The following is a 21,845-nucleotide window of genomic DNA, read 5'->3' as shown; positions in this document are numbered from 1 at the left end:
GGTCAGGAATCCAGGCATGGGTTAGCTGTGTCCTCTCCTTTTTGGACTTACATAATCTTTTAATCAAGGTGTCATCCAGGGCTACGGTCTCATCTGAGGCTCAACTGCAGAAAGATCCACTTCCAAGTACATGTGGTTGTTGGCAGAAATCAGTTTCTTGTGGGATGTTGGACTAAGGGCCTCGATTCCTTGCTGGCTGTTAGTCAGCCATCACCTTGAGTTTCTTGCCACGAGGACTGCTCCATATGGCAGCTTACTTCATCAAATCCAGTGAGGGATATACCCAAAAAGTTGGCTAGCGAGAATCTAGTCAAGTCATAATCTTATGTAGTATGTCCATTGAATTTACATGAGACGTATACATCACATGAACACTGAGCAAAGGATAAAATGCCCCCATTGACCAGAGTTGGTTAATGTGCTTATGCATGTACCATGGGGATTGGCAAAGCCTTACCCAAAGCACTTGTACAGAGAAGGAAAGAGGCAAGATTATTGAAAACAATATTTGGATGTTATCAAAAGAAAGCAAAAAGAAAATGCAGGACAGTAAAATAAGTAAGTAAATAAACTAGTAAATTAAATATCTACTTTACACACTTCATTTTAAAATGATACAGATTGGTTCTTATTCTTCAGCAAGAAGCAGTTATTGCTCATGCAATGAATATATGGACCACCATTAGGTGCTAGAGTATCTGTGAGAAAGACTGCTTTACATTTAGATAACCTAGTCAATTAAGTGTATGGACAGCAGTACCAAAAACAAAGCAATTTGGACCAGATATTTATAAAGCCTATACTTCAGACTAAATTTGTATTTCAGGATTTTTTGTAAAAGGTTTCAATGAAAGCACAATGTAATTGCATAATGTAGCTTGGAAGAACTACCGTGTACATTCTTCTATTAAGTTCAAAACTCTGTCATAAATATGGATAAAAAAATAAAAATAAATACCACCACACACCTATTAGAATGTCTGAAATCCAGACTATTGACAGCACCAAAAGCTGGTTAGAATATGGGGCAACAGCAACTCTCATTTATTGTTGGTGAGAATACAAAATGGTACAGTCAGTTTGGAAGACAGTTTGGCAGTTGCTTAAAAGACTAAACAGTCTTACTATAAAATCCAGTAATCATGCTAATTAGTATTTACCCAGAAGAGTTGAAATCTTAGAGTCACAAAAACCTACACACAGATGTTTATAGTGGCTTTAGTCATAATTGCCAAAACTTGGAAGCAACCAAGATGTTTTTTATTTATGGAAATAAACTGTGGGTACATTCAGACCGCGAAATATTATGTAGTGCTAAAAATGAAATAAGCAATCAAGCCATAGATGTTGAGGAGCATTAAATGCATATTACTAAGTGAAAGAAGGCAATCTGAAAAGGTTACATACTGTGTGATTCCAGCTATACAACATTCTGGAAAAGGCAAAACCATAGAGACACTACAAAGATCAGTGGTTGCCAGAGGTTGAGTTGAGGGGAGGGATGAATATACAGGGCACAGAGGATTTTCAGAACAGTGAGAATACCCTATATGATACTACATGAAAGCGGATACATGCCATTACACATTTGTCCAAACTCATAAAATGTACAACAACAATATGCACCCTCATGTAAATGATGGACTTTCAGTGATAATGGGTCAATGTAGGTTCATCATTTATCACAAAGGTAGCAGTTGGGTGGGGGATTTGATCATGGAGGAGGCCATGAATGTGTGAGGGCAGAGGGTATATCAGAAATCTCTTATCTTTCTCTCAATTTTTCTGTGAACGTAAAGTTACATCAAAAATTATATTTAAAAATAAATACATCATCTTCTCTAAACCTGCAGACCTCCTCCAGTAAGTGAACTTGCCACCAAAGGGACCATGGTTGGTGTAATTTCTGCTGCTGCCATTAATCAAAGTATTGTGTACTCCATTGTTTCAGGAAATGAAGAAGGTGAGTAGACTTTTAGTTTGTGTTCTCACCATCAACCAGTAAACTTAGATTTGGCCTAATTTCAGATTGAATTGAAATTATTATCTATTCTATTGTTTTCTAATAAAATTGTGCCCATCTTAAATGTAATTGTTAACCATGTATCCTGAACTCGATTAAAAATCCAGTGATGTTAGCTAAAGTGATTTTTTCCCTTAAGAAATATTAAGTACCTTAAGAAATATTAAGTATCTAATTAATGAAACCTTGCCCTTTTCCTCATTTGGTAATATTTTAATGACATTTCCTCAAAATTAATGCATCATGAAATTTTCAGCTTTTGGCCATGATCATTGCCTACAGTAGCTTCGTCCGCCCCAGTGTCTGAACCATCCATGACCCTTACTCCATGTTGGTCATACCTTAACTAATCCTGAAGGAACTTCAAGGTTGTAAATAAGTTGTGAATTTTAAAAAGAGTCACATCCATGTTAAAAGCTATGCATGTTATATGATTCCCAAAATAGTCAAATTAGACATACAATTCATGATTAAAAATAAAAATATAAGTTTTTGTAATTTAAGAATCATAGGAATTTGCAGGCCTCTGGGAATAAGGTCATAGCTCAATCTTTCGCATTAATTTTTGTTTTACCTGTTCTCCACAAGTTCTCCTCTGTTTTCCCTTTTGGTATGTTAGATAGCCTAGTATATTGTAGGTAGTCAGGAAATAGTTAATATACATGTAATAAGTTAATCAATAGTAAATATTAAAGAAATGAGTGAATGTAAAAGAGTTTGCAAGGAAATTATAAAGGCCCTGTTAAGCTTTTTAATGACAAACTATTACTAGGTATTGCTGCCCGTGTAGTGTAGCAAGTGGTCAATATCTTACTTTTATTGCCTTTCTTTCTACATTATTACTGTGCTACTATGTGTCCTCCCTAAAAATAACTAAATTTCCTTTTTCCTTGGACTTCGAACATCTGACTAAAGCTATGATTTCTCAACCTGTTCCGTCCCGAAACTTTCTCTTTTGATTCTATTTGTCCTTTTCTTTGAAGACAGCAGAGTGGCTATATTTATTAACGTCTGTCCCCCACAGTGACTGTTGTACATTTATTTATTTATTCAACAAATATGTACTGAGCATCTATTATGTATTAACTACTCTTCTAGCCACTACAGATAGAACAATGTACAAAATAGATTCCTGCCCTCATGGAAGTTAATGGTCCAGTAAGCGGAGATTAATAATAAAAATTATTAAACAAAGAAATATATAGTATTATAAGGGATTATTAATTACATGAAAAAATAAAGTAAGGAGAGAATATGGAGAGCATAAGAGGGGGAGATATTATAAAGTTTACCAAAGTGCCCTGATTTTCATTCAAATTTATTTAAATAAACAGACACAGGGCAACATTAAATTATCCATTTTTTTATTTTCTCTCAAGTGTTCTTAGCAAAACACTAAATCTACAAAATAATAATATTCATAAATTACAAAGAGTATAATAATCCAGTAAGTTCAGAAAATTTTGGTTAAACAAAATTAGATGGTTTTCTTTGAAACAACTTCTGAAAGCCTTTAGTGTGACAGAAGACCATCTGAATCTAAGGTAAAGAATATATTATTCAGTGTTTCCCAAATGTAATTGACCATAGAACTTTGTTTTCCAGGATTATCTCAAAACAACAAAAACAAAAAAACCCTACAATTTCAAGGCAGACTTTAGCGAAGTATTGATGTTGATCATTCAAAGAGCTGGAACAGTTTCCAAAAGCCAGCATTTTGTCACTTTCATGCATCACTCTAGTTATAAATAGGCATTTTTAGTGTTTTTGAAATCACAGTGCCTTTTAAAGAGAATTTCTTTCCTTATAGCGTAAAGACAATGACCAGGTAATTGTATTTTAATTTCTAGATACATTTGGAATTAATAACATCACAGGTGTTATCTATGTGAATGGACCTCTGGATTATGAGACCAGGACAAGCTATGTACTTCGAGTCCAAGCTGATTCCCTGGAAGTGGTCCTTGCCAATCTCCGAGTTCCTTCAAAAAGTAAGTTATACTACTTAAAGCTTTTACCAGAATTGTATGGTGTCTCTGCTAATTTTTTAAATGAAATACCTATGTCTAAAATATCATTCTCAGTGGACAACATAGAAAGATCATTAATACTCTGAGATGATTGCCTATTCGTTTAAACAGCTAATATATGACAAGGCAGGGAGTGATTTCATACTCCTGAAATGTCGAGATAATAAAACACCGTTTTCAAATTGTGTATCCAATATTGTTAAAATACCACCATTGTCTGTGTATGTTAAATAATAAAACTTAGTCCCACTGTGAAGCTCTGGATAAACCTTGGGAAATAGATATTTTTAATGAATGACTTCTAGAAATTGCCTGAATTGTGTGGCTTCTTGTATTTACATATTTTCTTCGAGAAAAGAAAAAATCATCTTAAAATTAGCGACTAACATTTATTGTAATTTATATGTAGCATCATTTTTCATTTTTAATTTACACTTTTTAACCTACACTTTTAATCTATGAAATGAGAATTACTACCCTGTTTTACAAAGGCAAGATTTTGTTAATAATTAAAAAGGTTATTTTTTTAAATGACAGTAAACAAAGCGTCACAGATTTAAGCCCACGTTCTGTGACTCCGAACTTCAACATTTCTGTGGCATATAGTTTACCCCCACAGAGAAGCATATAAAAGCCAATTTGTGAAGGGAACTGACACAGATTTAAAGATGTTATCAATAATGCAATAAATGCTATTCTTTTCCCATCTATTGAGGTAATACTCTTTTGCATTTAAGCAATCATCTTTTTGTAATCAGAGCAACCCTTTTAAAATCTAGAAGACTCAAGATAATCCAGTTTAAGTTAACTATTAATAGAATAGAGGCCCAGACAGAGTGTGAAATGAGAAACAGGATCTGAAACATTCACCCAGGGACTATCCCTGGACATCATTTCAAGGCATTTCAGCAAGCGAGCGTTCTTAGAAGGGAGAAGAGGGAAAAAGAAGAGGGCAGAGGCATAAAGCAAGAACCCAGGCAGTGTGAGAGAAAAGAAAGCAAGACAGGAGCAACAGGCAGAAGATGCAGGACAGAATTTTCTGTATCAGTTTGGCAGTTGATCATAAAAAGAAATCACTCCTTTTCATTTATCGTGAACCTCATTTACTGATTCAGTGTAGAGAGCTGCTCAGTTCCTTGTAGAGATACAACCAAATCATTTGAAAAATCAGATTATACAGGTGTCTTTGAAATTAAAGGAATTGAATTGTCCTCAATAATTATGCATCACTCACATAATTAAATTGTTTAAAAATAGCAGATGAATTCTTTGAGTTTCTAAAATCTTTAAACTACAGGCAATTATGTTTTTAAAAATATAGAGGATGCTTCCAATTGTAAACTGAATTGGATAAATGAGGAGTGGAAAGGTTGGAGTAACTCTAAATTATATAATGTAACCTATTTTATTGCAAATGCAAAAATGAGGAAGATTAATTGAAAAGTGTACCTGCACTCTTTCCTTGAAACAAATGAACAGTTTAAGAAAGAAAAATTTTAGGTTGTAGAACTTTCTCAAGTGATACCTGTGATTTTTATGAATAGAGGTGCATTAAGTTCTTATATGTGAATACAACTAGCTCCCATTACTTTAATTTACATGTAAATCTGAGGCTAATAAAAGTTTCTCTAATGCACATGTGTATACTTCCATGTGCCCCAGTATGCATGTAGAGGTGAAACCAATTCCTGAATTATCCTGTCAGAAATGCATGAAGTCTAAAAGCTAAAATATTTACTGCCTGATTCTTTGAATATTGTTATTAACCTTTTATGATTGACCTTTGCCTCCTAAGTTTGAAATAAAAACCCATATATTTCTAATTCAATCTCATTAATTAATAACTGTTAATGGCCTATAGTCAATCCCCAGCCCATTAGTTATGCAAATACAACCATTATGTAAATTGAGGTTAATTAGTTAGCTAAATATTCATCTCTGCAGCAGAATTAGTTGCCCTACCACATATCATTTGAATAAGGATAATAAAAATCAGAAGTGTAATTCATTAAAGAAGTATTTTATTGTGACTTCTTTACCAAAAATTTGTTAATGAAATTATTTTCAAAGTAAATTGTGCAACCATGATGTGATTAGATTTAATATTTAAATGCAAATTAATTAAAATGTAAAATTTTAGAGCTAATTTCATAAGTTTAACACTAGGAATATTTAAATATTTTAACATTTTACTTGGAACATTTCAAACATACAAAAATTACAGAGAATATTACGGTGAACCTCCATGTATCAACTCCCTAATTCAACATAATCACGCCCTGGGAAATAGTTGTTCCTCTATGCTCTCAACTACCCACTATTGCATTATTTTGAAGCAGGTCAGAGTCATAACATTCAATCTGTAAATATTTTGATATGTATATCTTAAGGACTCTTAAAACAATTAAAATATCATGATTACTGCTGCCAAAAGTAACAAATTATTTGATATCAATATATATCCAGTTGGTATTAAACATAGTTCATATTAAACATATCCAGTTCACATTGAACATTTATTTACATCAGAATCAAAATAAGGTCTATACATTGCCATTGGTTGATAGGTCTGTTAAGTCTCTTTTAATCTGTAGGCTTCACCACTACGCTCTTTTATTCACCTTGATATTTATTTGTGCAAGAAACCACATTTCTGAAGCCTGGATTGATGACTGTCTCTCCAAGTGGTCATTTCATATTCTTTCTGCTTCCTTAATTTCCAGGAAATAAGTAGTTAGATCTGGAGGCTTGATCATATCCAGGTTATTTTTGGTTTGTTTTTAAACAAATAAATCATAGGTGATATTCACTCCTTCCTTAAACATTAAATCTCTTTGATTCTCTTTTTGTGATATAGATAGTAGCAACCACCAATAGTAATTTTCTAAATCCATTATTTTTTTATTTTTATTACTTCTATATTCATTAGCCAAAATATTTTTATAAAGAAAAACGTCTCCATAGCAAATACTCAGTAACCCTGAGGTCCACCAACTATAGGAAAAACAAGAAAAAAAAACTTTATTCTTTCCTTTTATTATTGATTTTCAAAATAATGAGTTGATTCACTATCATACTCAAAATGGGAATACTGAGATGACAAATATGTTTAGTTTTCTGGGTCATATGGTCTCTGTCGGAACTACTCTACTCTGCTGTAGCTTAAAAGCAAGAAGAGATAATACGTAAACCAAAGGGTTTGGCTATGCTCCCATAAAATTCATTTTACTAAAACAGGCTGTCTGTGGGCTGGATTTGACCAAAGGGCTGTAGTTTGCCCACATTTGTTCTACGACTTACTTTTACATTACATGGTACACTTTTTTTTTGCACTGCTCATATGTTTCCTGTTGTGAGCAATGCTTCTGCTTCATCTCTTATATTTTCCCACACATCTAATTGAAAGTGATATTGTTTTATCCCTCTTAATAACACAATTCAGTCATTTTGTTATCAGTAACCCATTCCCAAGTAAAGTCCTTGATGCAGGATTATAGAGACACTATTTCCTATGTTTTGGTGCATTAAGAAAAGCTTATCTTAGGGCTTTAACATTGAAGACCAATTTGACTGGATAACTTGACTCATTTTCTTTTTTTAAATTAAATTTTTCATTCCATTTTCTTATTCTTTGAAGCATTACTGTAAAAAAATGTGTAATGACAAACTGGTCTTATTTCTGAATTTCCAAATAATTGCCTTTATTTTTTCTTTAGAGTTCAGTATTTTTGTCAATGTATTTCTACATGTTGGCAATTCTGGGTCATTTTCTATATATGTAGTATAACTGTTCAAGTCTCATTTAGGGATTTTTTTTTTAATTCTAGACTTTTTTTTTTTTATTAATGTGGCATCTATTCTGGTGTTACTGGCCACAAGTTCTTATGCTCTTGTGCAATAGAAACTGACAGAAGGCTAAGAAAATTTCCCAGACTCCAGGCGTTATTGGAACTTATGCTGGAGCACAAGGAAAGCAGCCCGGAAAAGAGAAAGTGCTCTTGCTGCCTCCCTGGAGATAGCCAAGAGAGTAATTTTAACAGGCCTAGCCATGAAAGGAGTGACATTAAAGCATGTAGAAATGGGAATTTATAGCATTTGCACAGTTTGATGACTTGCTTCTTCATGTGTCACACGTCTCATTAACATGTTACATCTCCGTGTGATTTTTTTTTTTTTTTGAGACAGAGTCTCACTCTGTTGCCCAAGCTGGAGTGCAGTGGCGTGATCTGGGCTCACTGCAAGCACCGCCTCCTGGGTTCACACCATTCTCCTGCCTCAGCCTCCTGAGTAGCTGGGACTACAGGCGCCTGCCACCACAGTCATTTTTTTAGCCTTCTGTGCATGTGGGTATTGGGGGCCAACTTCCTTGAGTAAGATGTATGGTAGAATGTCCCTCATCTTAGTTTCTCTAGGTAACTTATAGCTTGCACAGTCTTGTGGTCAGTGGGGATGGCATGAGTGAGGTGATGCTGCCATCACCTTACAGTGGTGCAAGGTCTGGTGACTAGTGTGACTGCATGAAATAATGCTCTAGTAGAGGTGATCTGAACCCAAAGTTCTATCCCTCCTCTGTCTCACTGGGAGATTCCTAGTATACAAGTGTTGAATCTTCTCTTATCTTTTCATCATTTTCTCGCTCATCTCTTTGTATTAGAGCACATTACTGTAAAGAATTTTTGCAACCTACTCATCTGACAAAGGGCTAATATCCAGAATCTACAATGAACTCAAACAAATTTACAAGAAAAAACAAACAACCCCATCAAAAAGTGGGCGAAGGACATGAACAGACACTTCTCAAAAGAAGATATTTATGCAGCCAAAAAACACATGAAAAAATGCTCATCATCACTGGCCATCAGAGAAATGCAAATCAAAACCACAATGAGATACCATCTCACACCAGTTAGAATGGCAATCATTAAAAAGTCAGGAAACAACAGGTGCTGGAGAGGATGTGGAGAAATAGGAACACTTTTACACTGTTGGTGGGACTGTAAGCTAGTTCAACCACTGTGGAAGTCAGTGTGGCGATTCCTCAGGGATCTAGAACTAGAAATACCATTTGACCCAGCCATCCCATTACTGGGTATATACCCAAAGGATTATAAATCATGCTGCTATAAAGACACATGCACACATATGTTTATTGTGGCATTATTCACAATAGCAAAGACTTGGAACCAACCTAAATGTCCAACAACGATAGTCTGGATTAAGAAAATGTGGCACATATACACCATGGAATACTATACAGCCATAAAAAAGGATGAGTTCATGTCCTTTATAGGGACATGGATGAAACTGGAAACCATCATTCTCAGCAAACTATCACAAGGACAAAAAACCAAACACCACATGTTCTCACTCATAGGTGGGAATTGAACAATGAGAACACATGGACACAGAAGGGGAACATCACACACGGGGGACTGTTGTGGGGTGGGGGAAGGGGGGAGGGATAGCATTAGGAGATATACCTAATGCTAATTGAAGAGTTAATGGGTGCAGCACACCAACATGGCACATGTATACATGTGTAACAAACCTACACGTTGTGCACATATACCCTAAAACTTAAAGTATAATAATAATAAAATTTAAAAAAAAAAGAAATACCTGAGACTGGGTAATTTCTAAAGAAAAGAGGTTTAATTGGCTCATGGTTCTGTAATCTCTTCAGGAAGCATGGTGCTGGCATCTGCTCTGGTTCTATGGAGACCTCCGGAAGCTTATAATCGTGGTGGAAGTCAAAGGGAGAGCAGGCACATCCCATGGCAAAAGCAGTAGCAAGGGAGAGAGAGAGTGGTGGGGGAAGGTGCCACACAATTTTCAACAACCAGATCTTGTGAGAACTCACTATGGCAAAGACAACACCAAGCCATGAGGGATCTGTCTCCATGAGACTGATCTCCCATGTCCTCAGCTGCAGCACCCGATTGGATTAAAACCTTCTTCCCTAGCAATACTCATTGTCTCAGTGATTGCCCATCTGTGTGGCAAGCAGCAGAACCTAGACCAAAACCATCATGTTCCAGTAACAGAGTTTAACACTCTGAACACCATTACTCTCGAGGAGAATTGAAAATGGTCACGCGAATTAAAATTTAGAAGTGACTTTGTATGAGTATTCCTTTATAGGGGAGGGTTGTTGTAAAGTTGTACTTGAATTCACTTCAACAGTATACTTTTCCCCAAAATACAATGGCTGGGGAAATATATGCTTTCCCTTCTCAAGTTTAACATTGGCAACTACAGTAAAAAACGCTGCCCTTATGTTGGCCTAGCACAGCAAATCCATGTTTGAGACATATCAGATAAATGTAGACAGAAAAAGAGCAACAAGCAATTACAATGACTGGAGTATTACATTATATTACAGCTACATCTAGAAAGGTCTGTGCTTCTATAAGTATGCAGGCAAAGAGCCTGTGACTGTTCTTTGCCTGCATAATTATACCCAAACCAACCCAAAGGACCAGATTTGGGACACAGGTGAATGCCAGTTTTCTTAAATCCTGTTCGGTAGGATTACCTGAAGGAGTGATGATACTGCAAAAGGCAAAAACTGGACATAGACCGCAGAATTCCTATAAAATGACAAACTGGAATTAACTGAAGTATGCTGGCAAACTGAAGTTGCTGAAGAAAAGCATACCAGTGCTGAAGATGCTCTCATTGACCATGTCTGTTTTAAACCCAGGTCTGACCCAAAGAGTATTCAGCCATTTCACAACAGTAATATTGAAGTAGGAACTTCGCTACCTACCTTACATGCCTTTTCTCCATAATCTCCAAGGTCAGGTAATAGAAGTCTGAGTGATAAAAATCAACTGCTAGTGAATGAAGGAGGTGGTGGTAGTTAATAAAGAAAAAAGTAAAAAGAAATCTCTTACAGCCTCTTCCCCAAAGGCAGAGGAACTTCCATTAACATATCTAAGCTGGGGAAGGACATTTTACCTTTAAATGAAATTTGGAGTATTAGATTCATATATTGAACTAGAGAATCATTTTTAAATTCTTTTTAAAGTTACCTTTACCATAGTACTATTAACAATTTTTTTAAAAATTATAAAATTTCTTGAGCTTTTATTCAACAGCAGGAAAGATATTAGCCCATATTAGCAGGATTAAAGAGATAGTATGAAAGAAAATAATAGAGTTTTATAATTCTATATTTTCATATTAAGAATATTGTTTCAGTGAGACTGTAGAACAGAATTTAGTGGATATTGTTAAAATGGATTTAGTCTGCGCAACGACAGAAGTTTGTATCTGTTTTGTTTATTGATGTATCCCAATAGCCTAAAATGCATGGCACATAAATACCCCCAATAAAGATTTGTCCAATGCATGAGTGAGTCTGGAAAATTAAGGCCAGATTGTGAAGCGTTTTAAATATCAAGCTAACAGTATGCAAATTTGTAGCATACATACCACTCATACAATCCACCTGATGGCTGACTGCTAACTAAGCTCCAGTTCTGCCCACTCCCACCTCACCACCCCTGATTTGCAGCCTTTTCATAACAGTGGTTTAGTCATTATTACAGATGGAGACAGTACACTGTTTTAATCATGGGAATGTGCTTAGGAGCTTCCTCCCAGTACTTGAAATTGCAGGGAATCTGAAAAGCTTTGGAGTTTTCTCTCTCTTCAATTCAGTTAGAAATTAGGTGTTGATTTTTCATTCTTCCTGCACTCAAACTTTCTGGCCCTCTAGACTCCCTACATTTTATCTCTTCTTCCTGTCTCATTCTGTTAAGCATCCGTATTTTCTTCCTTTACTCCCATATTGACCACTAATTTGATCAAATAATTATCTTCCTTTTACAAAGTGTTAATGAAACACCAGGAGTTTGGTCTAGGTCCTGCTGCTTGCTGTACAGAAAGCCAATTACTGAGAAAACAAGTATTGCCAAGGAAGAAGGCTTTAATCGGGTGTTGAAGCTGAGGAGATGGGAGTTCAGTTTCAAATCCATCTCCCTGATTGACTAAAGCTAGGGGGTTTATGTAGTAGGGAAGAAACGTAAGAGTGTAAGAAAACAAGAACTGGGGAGGAGCAAGGAGGCCTCTGGGGCAGTGATCTGGTAAGTTTCAAATAACTGAAACTTTTTTCAGAGGCCTGAAGGTCCTCCTTTGCTGAGGAAAGAGCTCAGATAAAACAAATAAAAGTTTTAAGCTTTAGCAGCAGAAGAGCCAATCTCTGTGTTTATCTGAAAACAACTGTCTGTGGGACTGTTGGACTAGTTTCAAAAGGAAAGACAAATGTGAATGCGTTGCTATTTCTTTTTTTTTTTTTTTTTTTTTTTTTTTTTGAGAGGGAGTCTCACTCTGTCACCCAGGCTGGAGTACAGTGGCACGGTCTCAGCTCGTTGCAAGCTCCGCCTCCCAGGTTCATGCCATTCTCCTGCCTCAGCCTCCCGAGTAGCTGGAACTACAGGTGCCTGACACCACGCCTGGCTAATTTTTTTTATTTGTAGTAGAGACGAGGTTTCACCATGTTAGCCAGGATGATCTCGATCTCCTGACCTCGTGATCTGCCCGCCTCGGCCTCCCAAAGTGCTGGGATTACAGGCGTGAACCACCGCGCCCAGCCGAATGCGTTGCTATTTCTAATACATTATTTCAAAATTATGAGTCATCTTTTCTTCCTATCCATAGTCTCTTTCTTTGCAGAAAAACTCAAACTCTCCTGGGTTTTTAGGATATAATGTTACTTGGTCCCAAAGAAGCTTCAAGAAGCCTGTACCCAGAACATCTATAGAAGCTTATGTTAATATTTGTGCCACAGAGTCATTCCCATTCTTTTATGTAGAGCAAAAGCAGTAACATGCAAGTTTACAGCACAGATTGATTTATGTAACTCCATAATTGAAGTGGCAATTTTTGCTTTATGGTAAAATTATAATTATCTTTAAACATGAAAAAAGAAAGCCATAGCTTTCTATAAATATGTCATTGTGTTTTGATTCAATAACTAGACTTTCAATCAGGAATAAATTACAAGACAATTAAGATAAACTTTAAACTGAGGGTAAAACAACTCAAATGCTATTGATTTCATTTTATGTTTTAGCTGTAGGGTACAAGCTTGTAATACATTTCATTCTTCTGACTTTTGTGGTTTCTAACAGAAGGTCTGTGACAAATAATGCTAATGACTCTTTACCTATGATTGACTGACTTAAAACAAAAGTATCCCTGCTATAACTTGGGTAACAATATTGTAGCCTGTCACATATTATTTTTTAGTCCTAAAATCCCAGGAATGATCATAGCCTTATATTTATAGTACAAATATATGGCCACTGTTTTAGAAACTATATTAATAATGTATTACTTTAAAATATGGAGAGGAGTTTATGAAAATTAACACGATAATATCATTAACAGCATTTTTTCTTTCAGAAATTTTAGGCATCTTATATAAATATATGGTTGAAAAAATTATATTTTCAATGAAACAAAAATGTATTCCAGTGGACTCATAGCATAAAATTGTCTGTCCAAGAAAAAATTGCATTGTGCACAATAGGTTTCCTTGGAAATGTGATTTGAAACATGGTATACACTATTATTAATACATTTCTGAAACCAAATGCATTGAGGCAGTGCTCTTCCATTGATCCCAAATTGGTTTGCTGAACTGATGACAATGATATATAATCAGACTTTTCAAAATAGAAAAATATTACATTTCTGCATATATGAGAAAAAATATATATTTCATGACGGAAACATATTGCTGCCATGGGCAAGCAAAATTAAAATATTTAAGAATCTAGGAATGCATAAAATAGTTCTCCTTCTTATACCTAAGAATAAGCCTGGAACTAAAGAGAGAAGATACAGTTTTCTTCATTCTTGGAAACGTACTTATAATTAATATAGTAAATAATTTAGATTTTTTTTCTAAGCCTTTTTAGTCCAAATTTAAATTGGGATTCAAAATGCCATTCATTGAATGCCAAATATTTTGGCAAACTTATGCTTTCCAGAGAGTATTAATTACTGATTAATAATGAGGCCCCAAAGTGATACAACAGTCACTCTAAACCTCTTGCTTTAGAAAAACTCCTATTTCAGTAGAGGCACACTAAGCCCTATTAAATGCAAATGAAACTATGCACAGAAGAACTGGAATCTATTAAGTCACTTATGTTACAGAAATAACAACCTTTGCAGAAATAGAAAACAGATGCAACTACATGAATAACATAAGCATAAAATGTAGTTTAACATTGATAGATATGAGGGAAATTATCAGAATTAATTCTTCATTATTGATTATGGTTGTAGGCATTGGCTATCCCCATTCTGTTGTAATATAATCAAGGTCAGGTCTGCACTTAAAGTAATAACTTGCTAAAGATTTAGCATAGTTATTAGATTGGTTTTTATTTATTTTTATCACTTATGGATAATGCAATTTTTTCTGTTAGTAAAATATTTATTTTCCCAACTTTAACAAGTAGCTGATCTTACTGGTTGACTATCGAAAGAAGAAAAAAAAAGCTTCTCATTAAATAGACGAAAATAAATTCAGCATTATGCTTACATAATAAAAAGAAATATGGGGAAAAGTGCCATATAGAAAAGATGTACATAGGAGTGAACATTCAGAAGGTTTCATTGTCTCAACTTCACCAGTCTCTGAAGTTCTACTGGGCATATCCTATGTAACTGCTTTTCTGAATTTCTATATTCATTGCATTCTTTTCACTTAACCTCAAGGAATGTCTATACCTAAATGTCTTTGCTTGCACAAGTCTCTCTTTTTAAAATGTCCTTTCTACATTGTTTTTCAGATCAACTCAATTATTCTACAAGGGTCAGTTTAAAGGTCATCTCATTTTTGAGACTTTGCTTAATCATTCATTGTCCCTGTCATACAAGAACAAATACATCTGGCCTGTGAGTTCTCCTCAAATAAAAAGATGTAGTATTATTCAATTTTATTTTGTCCCAGATTTTATCACAGGTGCTGTGTGGATGATAGCAGAGAAGATAAAAATGTGAGATAGATCCCAAAGAAGAGAATAGTATAGATAACACTATGAAGATGAAAGATGTATTTCAGAAAATAGTAAATACTCCTTTTCCTGCACAATACAGAATTTGTCTAGTAAATTATGTTTGATGCCATGTTCTAATGCTTTCAAAGAAACGCTGTTATAATATCTATTGTTGTACTACTCCACCTTTTTGATATTTATCGTTTATATAAAAGATCACATTATAATTAACCATATATTTTCATGATTGATTTTGTCCAAAATGGATCTGATTTTGACCTGGACTAATTAATAACAGTATAATTTTATAATTCTTCACAGTGAATTGTGAATTGTATCAGATTTGCAAGAACATTTGATGAGTTAAACATATAAAGTGGTAATAAAATAATAGATACATGGGCAAACAATGGAATTTAGTGTATTCCAAGGTAAAAGGTAAAAGTGGTAAAGAATGACTGGGACAATGCTCCTTTGATTTTGAAATTAGATATTACTTATTATCTTTGACAACATTACATGGATTGGTAAAGGTTTTGTGGGTCCCCTTGTAATTCTTCTTACTCTTTGACTAATGTTAACATTCACACACACACACACACACACACTTGCATTTACATATAAACAAAACTTCCAAACAGACTAGTACTTTTTAAGTTATTATTTCACTTTCAACAACTCTGTTCCCTTTATTTTTGAGGCACATCTAATATGATTCTGTTTTTTTGTCACATGGCCCCTGAAACATTATTTTTGTGCTACAGAGATAATGAAAAGTATGTTAAATTAACAAATATATATCACATATTTGTTCTAAGTGCTGTAAGGGGATACGTATCCACAAGGTGAGATTAGCGCTTTAAAGAAGTTTCTATCCTGGTGGAGAAGCTATAACATAGGTATAAACAATAAGTAGTAGCATGAAGTACATGACTAATTGATATACAAGAGACATAGACATGCATGATTTGAAATTAGAGTAGCTTTGTCAGTGAAAAACCTCGAACTCTGCAAAACATTTGAAGCAATTTATTCTGAGCCAAATATGAGTGACCATGGCCCTTGACACAGCCCTCAGATCCTAGAACATGTGCCCAAGGTGGTTGAGGTGCAGCTTGGTTGTATAAATTTAAAATTCTTCTAATTGGCAATTGGTTGAAAGTGGCTTCAGAAGACAGTGAATTGCCCTAGTGGTAAACAAAAGTTAGTGAAGAGAAAAAGGAAGTAGATAAGTAAAAGAATCATAAAATAGTGTTTCTCATAAAGCAACTGTTTGAACTACCTGGTGATAATTACCTGAGATACTCGTTTAATAATACATATTTTTGTGATCTCTTTTCCAAACCTACTTAATTAAGATATCTGGAAATGGAAAATGGAAATCTGAATATTTACTGTTTTTATTGTTGTTGTTGTTTCTTCACAACTATTTGAAATACTGATAGGAAGATTAACTGCTTGCAGTTTTTTGTTTTGTTTTGTTTCTTAAAGCAGGGAATTAACATGAGAAAGTTAGCTCAGTATGTAGAATAGCTTGGAGAGAGATAGAATGAATGCTAAAAAGAATTGGATAAATAGGCCAGTCCCAAACTAGAACTAGGATTGGGCCAGTGAGAGGAGGAAAATATAGGACAACTGCAAAAGAGAAGTTGGTAGGACTTGATGACTGGTTATAAAGAGAAAGGAAGAAATCAAGGATGATTTTATACTTTTGATCTTGGGTGACATGAATAAGATCTAAATAAAAACTTGCAGGAAACAAGGAACTGGACTTCCAAAGGTGTTCAAGACTGACAGGTAGGTTTTGAAAAAAAATCATATAGCATGAGTACTTAAGTCAAGGAATTGTTATGCCAAGCGTCGCTAGTCTCACGTGGTACAAATGTAAAATAATGAGGCTTAAGTGAGAAAACCAGGCAAAGAAAGCATCAAAGGAAAAAGTATCTCTTGACCTCCCATAAGCACAAAGAAAAAAACTTAATTTGCACACATCTGAACACACCATAGAAAGGGCTCAAGACTAGAAACCAGGGACTGGAAACACTATTACTCTACAAATATAAAGGAAATATGGAAATAAAGGCAAACAAAAATCCACTGGCAGTGTAATGATAGGAGATTCCCTGTCGAGGCAATGATCTCTTTAAGAGGAGATGAGCTAGTGAAGCTTGTATCAGGGAGAAATGCTGTTTAGATCCATTCTGCTAACTCAGATCCAACTGTGTCTGGAATTGGTGGGTTCTTGGTCTCACTGACTTCAAGAATGAAGCCGCGGACCCTCGCGGTGAGTGTTAGGGTTCTAAAAGATGGTGCGTCTGGAGTTCTTTCCTTCTGATGTTCGGGCGTGTTCGGAGTTTCTTCCTTCTGGTGGGTTCGTGGTCCCGCTGGCTTCAGGAGTGAAACTGCAGACCTTCGCGGTAAGCGTTACAGCTCTTAAGGTGGCATGTCTGGGGTTATTCGTTCCTCCCATCAGGAGTTGTTCATTCTACCCAGTGGGTTCGTGGTCTCGCTGGCCTCAGGAGTGAAGCTGCAGACCTTCGCGGTGAGTGTTACAGTTCATAAAGGCAGCGTGGAACCAAAGAGTGAGCAGCAGCAAGATTTATTCCAAAGAGTGAAAGAATGAAGCTTCCACAGTGTGGAAGAGGACCCCAGCTGGTTGCCACAGCTAGCTGGGGCAGTCTGCTTTTATTCCCTCATGTGGCCCCACCCACATCCTGCTGATTGGTACATTTTACAGAGAGCTGATTGGTCTGTTTTACAGAGAGCTGATTGGTCTGTTTTGACAGGGTGCTGATTGGTGCGTTTACAATCCCTGAGCTAGACGCAAAAGTTCTCCAAAACCCCAGAGCACTGATTGGTGCATTTACAAACCTTGAGCTAGACACAGGGTACTGATTGATGTGTTTACAAACCTTGAGCTAGACACAGAGTGCTGATTTGGTGTATTTACAGTCCCTTAGCTAGACATAAAGGTTCTCCAAGTCCCCACCAGATTAGGTAGATACAGAGTGTTGATTGGTGCATTTACAAACCTTGAGCTAGATACAGAGTGCTGATTAGTGTATTTACAATCCCTTAGCTAAACGTAAAGGTTCTCCAAGTCCCCACTAGACTCAGGAGCCCAGCTGGCTTCACCTAGTGGATCCTGCACTGGGGCCGCAGGCGGAGCTGCCCGCCAGTCCGGCGCTGTGCACCCGCACTCCTCAGCCCTTGGGCGGTTGATGGGACCAGGTGCCACAGAGCAGGGGGTGGTGCTCGTTGGGGAGGCTCAGGCTGCACAGGAGCCCACGGCGGGGGGACACTCCAGCATGGCGGGCTGCAGGTCCCAAGCCTTGCCCCGCAGGGAGGCAGCTGAGGCCCAGTGAGAATTTGAGTGCAGCACTGGCAGGCCTGCACTGCTGGGGGACCCGGTGCACCCTCCGCAGCTGCTGGCCTGGGTGCTAAGCCCCTCACTGCCTGGGGCCCACGGTGCCAGCCGGCCGCTCTGAGTGCGGAGTCCACCAAGCCCATGCCCACCGGAACTCACGCTGGCTCGCGAGCGCCACATGCAGCCCCGGTTCCCGCCTGCGCCTCTCCCTCCACACCTCCCCGCAAGCAGAGGGAGCTGGCTCCGGCCTTGGCCAGCCCAGAGAGGGGCTCCCACAGTGCAGCCGCGGGCTGAAGGGCTCCTCAAGCGCGGCCAGAGTGGGCGCCAAGGCTGAGGAGGTGCTGAGATCAAGCGAGGGCTGCGAGGGCTGCCAGCAGGCTGTAACCTCTCACAATGACCAAATTAAGCTGTCAAAAGAAAAAAAAATTATTGTCCCTTGAGGCCCCATCTCATTTGTCTTTCTGAGGCTGTCAAGAGAGAAAAATGAAAGACTGAGTTTGAGAAAAACTCTTCCATTTAGTGAATGAGAGGAAAAGAATAGCCATTTAAGAGACCAGTGGAAAAAATGAGTACAATTTATGTAGTGATGACCTGTTAGCCAAAGGAGAAGAGGGTTTCAAGAAAAGTCAAAAATGGCTGAAACATCAAATGTTGCAGATACTCCAGAAAAATTATGACTAAAGAAAGTATGTTGGATAATAGTTAACTTGGGCCAACAATAACTATAGCTAGTGCCAAATAAATAATAAAGGGCTTGTATGTGGAAGAAAACATGGGAATTAAGTAGGTAGAAGATTTCTTGGTTTTATCTTCACAATTTAAAATTTAATTTATTCTTAAATATTCCCTAATTTTGTTAATGTTTACATTTTATAAGGCATGCATTTCAATTTAATGTACACATTGCTTCAATGCAAAAGCAAAAACAGAATTTTATGATTCAGAGATAAGAAACATAAATTTAGCTTGTCATTCTTTTTAATCATTATTCAGAACACAAGTCTCGTAGTCAGTTCTTCCCAATCTAATTCATTTTTTATTCCCAGGAACTTTCGTAAGTTCAATTAATCAATCTTGTTCCTGTTCTTATCCCTTTTGGTATCTTGTACCTAATTAGTCCCCTATGTAATATCTTAAAAATAATTACAGACAAGCAGTTTAGAGGAAATCATTATTTTAAAAGCTGTCACTTTCAATTTTGAAAGCCTGTTACTAGTTATTTACTTACAGCATATGCTTGCCATCAAGACTGTTTAATAGAGATTGCTATATTTGTGTTTTGTTTTGTTTTGTTTTGTTTTTTTGAGACGGAGTCTTGCTCTGTCACCCAGGCTAGAGTGCAGTGGCACGATCTTGGCTCACTGCAAACTCCACCTCCCACGTTCACACCATTCTCCTGCCTCAGCCTCCTGAGTAGCTGGGACTACAGGTGCCCGCCACCATGCCCGGCTTATTTTTTGTATTTTTAGTAGAGATGGGGTTCCACCGTGTTAGCCAGGATGGTCTCGATCTCCCGACCTCGTGATCCACCCACCCCCAGCCTCCCAAAGTGCTGGGATTACAGGCACGAGCCACCACACCTGACCTATATTTGTGTTTTATTAAAATACACAAGAAAGTTGGATACTTTAACCAGTTTAGTGGTTCAGTTTTGCTTCTAAATGATCCCTATTTGATGATATTTCATAAATGCTCAGATATGCCTGAGTTTAAAGGACAAACAGTAAAGGAGAAATTTTATCAAAAATCTATACTAGGGAAAATTCTATGTAACACAGATTATTAAACCATTAAGTTGTTCCCATTTAAAATTACCTTAATAGAAAAGCAGAGAAAAAGTAGATACATAAAAATTGTATATATGAAATTACTTAAGATCCATGATTTTGGTATCAGACAGGCCTGAATTCCATACCCAGTTCTGATCTTTACAAACTTCTCTAACCTTTATAATCTTCAACTTTCTCTTAGGGTAAATATGTCTACACCTCATAAGGGTATTTGAGAATTTTAAGGACTATCATATCAGAAAAGTACTTAACTTATTGTAACATAAGAAATACTCTATAAAAAGGTATTTTTTATTACTACTGCTAGCTGTGATATGTTCGAACCACACAAAATTATAATAAGCACATACTAAATATGCTTCATCTACTCCTTTAGATAAGTGTACAGAGAGATATCTCATATTTTCCTCTGAATTCTCTGTATTACCAGGGATTGTAGGTTGTGACATGTTAGAAAAGCAGCCAGGCATCTTCTGAGGGCTTTAGATTTGAATACACCTACCTTGATTGACAACCGGATAATGTATATACATAAACAAAGACAACTTTCTTCAAAAAAAAATTAAAATGATGTAAAATCCATGATTATAAAAAAGAAAATATACTAAAATTTAATACTTGATTAAATTTTGCAACACAAAATGAAAAATCTACATTTCATAATGTCTTTTGGGAGGAAAAAATCCAGTATCTTTTCCATAAATAGGGAGGTATGGTGTCCATTCTCTGCTATGAACTAAATTGGTCATTCCAAACTATTTTTGGCATGGTTAGTAAGTTGGAAACAGCAGAAACCACTTCTGACTGGCTTATACTAAAGGAATCATATCAGAAGAATACTTGGTGGCTTGTACAGCAAGAGAGAAATTGAATAGGGTCTAAGGAAAAACAAAAACATGGAGAGGCTTCAGCAATCTTAGAAACTCAAGTAGCAATTCCTTTTTGGGCAGTGCCATTAAGAAAGCTGAGGTCAATGACCTTCAAGCAACTGGCAGTCAGTTCAAGGATCACACATCTGAAGGTGAGAGAATCTGATTGGCCTGGCTTGAGCTGTGTATCCTTGGCCAGGGGTGAAGTGAAGAGTACAATAGTTGGCATTTCTATTAAGGACTCATGGAATGTGGAGGTAATAGTAAACCAAGGAGGGAAAATGGACTTCTGAGGCCAAAATAAAGGAGGAAGTGATACTGTTTAGGCAAATAAAAAAAAAGTCATATTAGGGCTGAAATGTGGTTGAATGAAGTGCTTGGTAAGGTTGGTGTAGAGGGGTGGCATATTACTTGAAACTTACAGTGCTAAATTTTTACTTTATGTCATAATGGAATTTTAATTTCCATTTATACTGTGACTAGTGCTCAAAAATGTAAGTAGCTGATTACCTCAACTTTTGAAGGTTTATCAATTTGTGTTGCTTCAAAAACTATTTTCTCCTCTCAGAAGTTTGGGAGAAGATTAAAGATAATGCTTGGACTTAATGACATATTGCAAGAACTGTGAACCCCTATTTTACAAGTATTAATTAAGCACTTTCCAAAAGCTCAATTTAAAATGTTCATTACACTAAGTAGTTGTAGTTAAATTGCTTCCACTTATATTACTTCTAAAATTTGTGCAAAA

The 21,845-nt window shown here is 36.4% G+C and overlaps 1 protein-coding gene across 19 annotated transcripts in view; it reads left to right on the top strand.

Annotated features, from left to right (window-relative positions):
- Positions 1-21,845, top strand: part of PCDH15 (protocadherin related 15) — a 1,825,172-nt gene that overhangs the window by 1,685,114 nt on the left and 118,213 nt on the right. For all 19 annotated transcript variants that reach the window (XM_047425663.1, NM_001354420.2, NM_001354429.2 and 16 more), the window contains 2 exons: positions 1,854-1,963; positions 3,874-4,014. In XM_047425663.1, coding sequence (XP_047281619.1) covers positions 1,854-1,963; positions 3,874-4,014 — 251 coding nt within the window. The remainder of the gene's footprint in view (positions 1-1,853; positions 1,964-3,873; positions 4,015-21,845) is intronic.

The sequence above is a fragment of the Homo sapiens genome, chromosome 10 (genome assembly GCF_000001405.40).
Source record: "Homo sapiens chromosome 10, GRCh38.p14 Primary Assembly".
In the NCBI taxonomy this organism is placed as follows: domain Eukaryota; kingdom Metazoa; phylum Chordata; class Mammalia; order Primates; family Hominidae; genus Homo; species Homo sapiens.
The sequence above is the reverse complement of the archived record's forward strand: the minus strand, read 5'-3'. Positions and strand labels throughout refer to the sequence as shown.